This window comes from Homo sapiens, chromosome 19 (assembly GCF_000001405.40).
Source record: "Homo sapiens chromosome 19, GRCh38.p14 Primary Assembly".
NCBI classification, from domain to species: Eukaryota; Metazoa; Chordata; class Mammalia; order Primates; family Hominidae; genus Homo; species Homo sapiens.
This window is the reverse complement of record NC_000019.10, coordinates 46,374,411-46,377,486: the sequence shown is the minus strand read 5'-3', so window position 1 is coordinate 46,377,486 and position 3,076 is coordinate 46,374,411. Positions and strand designations below refer to the sequence as shown.

General features: G+C 56.1%; 1 protein-coding gene across 2 annotated transcripts in view; it reads right to left on the bottom strand.

The window, feature by feature from the left end:
* Positions 1-3,076, bottom strand: part of PPP5C (protein phosphatase 5 catalytic subunit) — a 43,889-nt gene that overhangs the window by 13,489 nt on the left and 27,324 nt on the right. For both annotated transcript variants that reach the window (NM_006247.4, NM_001204284.2), the window contains exons 3-4: positions 1,736-1,883; positions 913-1,034 (exon numbers count right to left, since the gene is read on the bottom strand). In NM_006247.4, coding sequence (NP_006238.1) covers positions 913-1,034; positions 1,736-1,883 — 270 coding nt within the window. The remainder of the gene's footprint in view (positions 1-912; positions 1,035-1,735; positions 1,884-3,076) is intronic.

Here is a 3,076-nt window from a genome sequence, read left to right as displayed (position 1 = left end):
CATTCCTCCTCCTGTCTCACCTTTAACAACATGATCAACAGCTAACCCATACAGAGCACTAACCATGTGCTAGGCACTATTCGAAGCACTGATGTGGATTACACGCAGTTACTCCTTACAACAGCCCTTGGTGGAGACAGTATGATTATCTCCACTGCACAGAGGAGGAAATCAAGGCACAGAGAGGTGAAGCCATCTGCCCACAGGCACACAGCTAGTATGTGGGAAGGTAGAGATTTGAACCCAGGCCACTTGGCTCTCTAGGACCTATCAAATGGCGGCTTCCCATATTGCCTGCACACTCCTGTAAGAGTCACCTGCCTGTCAACCTGACTCACAAGAAGTCCCGCATCCTCATAACCAACCCAGGAGGTGGTGGATCTCAGCAGTTCCCCAAAACTATGGTAAGGTCCCTGTAGCCCTGAGAGGTCAGGGCAGGGGGCCTTGTCCAGATGGGATACCAGAGCCTGAGTCTCACTCAACCAGTTAACACCCTGTGGCCAGCTGCCCTCCTAGGTCGGGGAGGGGGTGGTCTCAGGACTAGGAGCAACCAGCAGGTCCCAAACAACCTGCAACAACCAGCAGCCACAGACGCCCAAGAGCCTGGGATGAGAACTCAAAGCAACAGACTCTACTGCTTCCTCACCTTTCACCCTGGGCCAGTCACCTGACCTCTCTGGCCCTTTGTCCCTGCATCTGTCAAATGGCACTGCCTGCCACCTCCCCAAACTGCTGTGGGACGAGATGAGATCATGTGGTAAGCCCTCGGCACAGTGTCCGGCACACGACTCCTGTTTGGTGTTGGCTGTCATGGCCGCCCTTCTCCTGTCGTTTTGCTCAGTGCCCGCGGCTGGCAGTGCTGTGATGCCATCCCAGGGTTCCCGGGTGCCCAGTACCTGACAGATGCATTACCTGGTAGGCACATTTCCGGTGCAGTTTCTTCTGGTCCTTGTACCACTGCATGAGCTCCTTCATGAAACTGATTGTCACTTTGCCGTCTTCAAGCTTGGGTCCGCTGTACTCATCCTCAATGGCTAGGGTGTGAACAACGGGACACGAGAGTCAGTGACCACAGCCACTATGAGGGAGAAGGGGGTCTCGCTCCCAGGGATGGGGAAAACTTGGGTGTGGACACACAGGTCGAGAGCGGGACAGAGTGAGTGAAGAGTCCCCTCCTGGGTCAGGTCTGGCCCAGAGGCCTCTTCCTGACCTCCCTGTCTTCCTTCACCCACCCCCCTTTACTCTATTCAGTTTTATGGCACTTAGCACTATTCATTTCATGACTTATTCATCATCTTATCTCCCTCCTAGAATATCGGCTCCATGTGGACAGGAAGGGTTTTGTTCATAGCTGTACCCCTAGTGCCTAGGACAGTGCCGGGCACATAGGAGATGCTCAATAATCATCTGTGGGATGATCCACAACAATCCCTTGGATCTTCTCAGCACCTAGAGGTGAATCAGACACAGCCTGTGGGGACTGTGCTACTACCCGGAGGAAGGGCCCGTGAAATGGCAGGGGGACCATGGCTCTCCAATCTCGCTCACTGGGAAGCGTGAGGCCCAGCTTTGGGCTGTGGATGGAGCGCCCTGGAACACAGGCAGAGGAGCGACAGACACCAGCCTGGGGACAGAACAAGGGGCCACCCCTGAGCCCAACCCCACCCCCAGGGAATGGAGAAGGCCCGTGTGGAATGTTCTGGGCTGGAGCGTGGAGCATCCAGGCCTGACTCACTCATGCTCTCGATGTCCAGCGAGTCCACCACGGAGCGCTTGTGCTCGTCGCCCGCGATGGCCCGCTCAAAGGCCTTCTGCTTCACGATCTTGTTGCACTCCTGGTATTTCATTTTGGCATCCTTGTCATGGGGCTTCACCTTGACCACCTGGGTGGGAGGGAAGGGGCGTGCACACTGAGGCTGAGGTGGGGGCACAGCGGTTGCCCCCAGGCTGCCCAGCCCTGGGTTCCATGAAAGTGGAAGTCAGACCGCCTGGGCGCCAGGTGCTGATGGTGCAACCCTAGACGTATTTAACTGCCGAGCCTTGGTTTCTGCACCCCAAAACTGGGCACAGCAAAGCTGCCCGCATGGGTGCACTTCATCAATCTTAGCTATGAGCGCGCTAAAATCAAACAACTGCCTGTCTGAGGACTGCGGGCTCAGCTTCAGGTGCCCTGTGAGAATCCCTGTGGGGTGAGCAGCATCCCAAGCACAGGTCCTGATGCTACTATCGTGACTACCAAGGTGGCGGAGCATGAGAGGAAGGGCCCGGCTGGGTCTACGGTCACAGAACAGCCCAGACTCACACAAAGGGCCAATGACTTGCTGGACGACATGGACTCCCCAAGCCCAGGTTACCTAATCTCTAACAGGGAGGTGACACAGGGCTCCCCTGCCAGGGCTGTGGGAAGGAATAAGTAACACAGGGGGCCCGGCATGCAGCAGGGGCAGGTGGGCAGCAGCACCGAGTGCTGTTACTTCCCTCCCTCACACTCTGGGGAGGCCCAGGACAAAAGATTTCCCTGTTTTGTCCACTGAAGAGAGGAACTGAGGGTCACAGATCCCTGAGACCGGGTTCAAATCCCAGCTCTGCAAGTCATGAGCTGGGTGACCTCAGGCAGGTGAGTCTGCCTCTCTGTGGCTCAGTTTCTCTCTGAGGTGGGACTGAGAACCATATATATCTCCCTCAAGAGGGCCACTGGGAGAGCTGCATGGGTGAATGCTTGTGAACCCTGCACAGTGGTGCCAGGTGAAAGGAAACTCCACGTGGGCGCCCACTGCTCTTCACGGTCCCCCTTCTGGGGCTGCTGCGCTGATGACCAGATCATACACAATAGGCATGGGGCGTTCAGCTTTGGGACATAGCAAGTTCCCAGTGAAAGGAGCCCTATCCCCGCAACCTTATTTACCCCGATTCCTGCAAACTCTGATCTTCTAACCTGAAAAGCAGACTGGATTTGGGGGCTGGATTCAGATCCTGGCTCTGCTACTTACTTGCCATGTGACTTTGGGCAAGTGACTTCACCTGTTTAGTCACGTAGACCCCCGTCTGACCTGCCCACCATCCTTAGCCTCCCCAG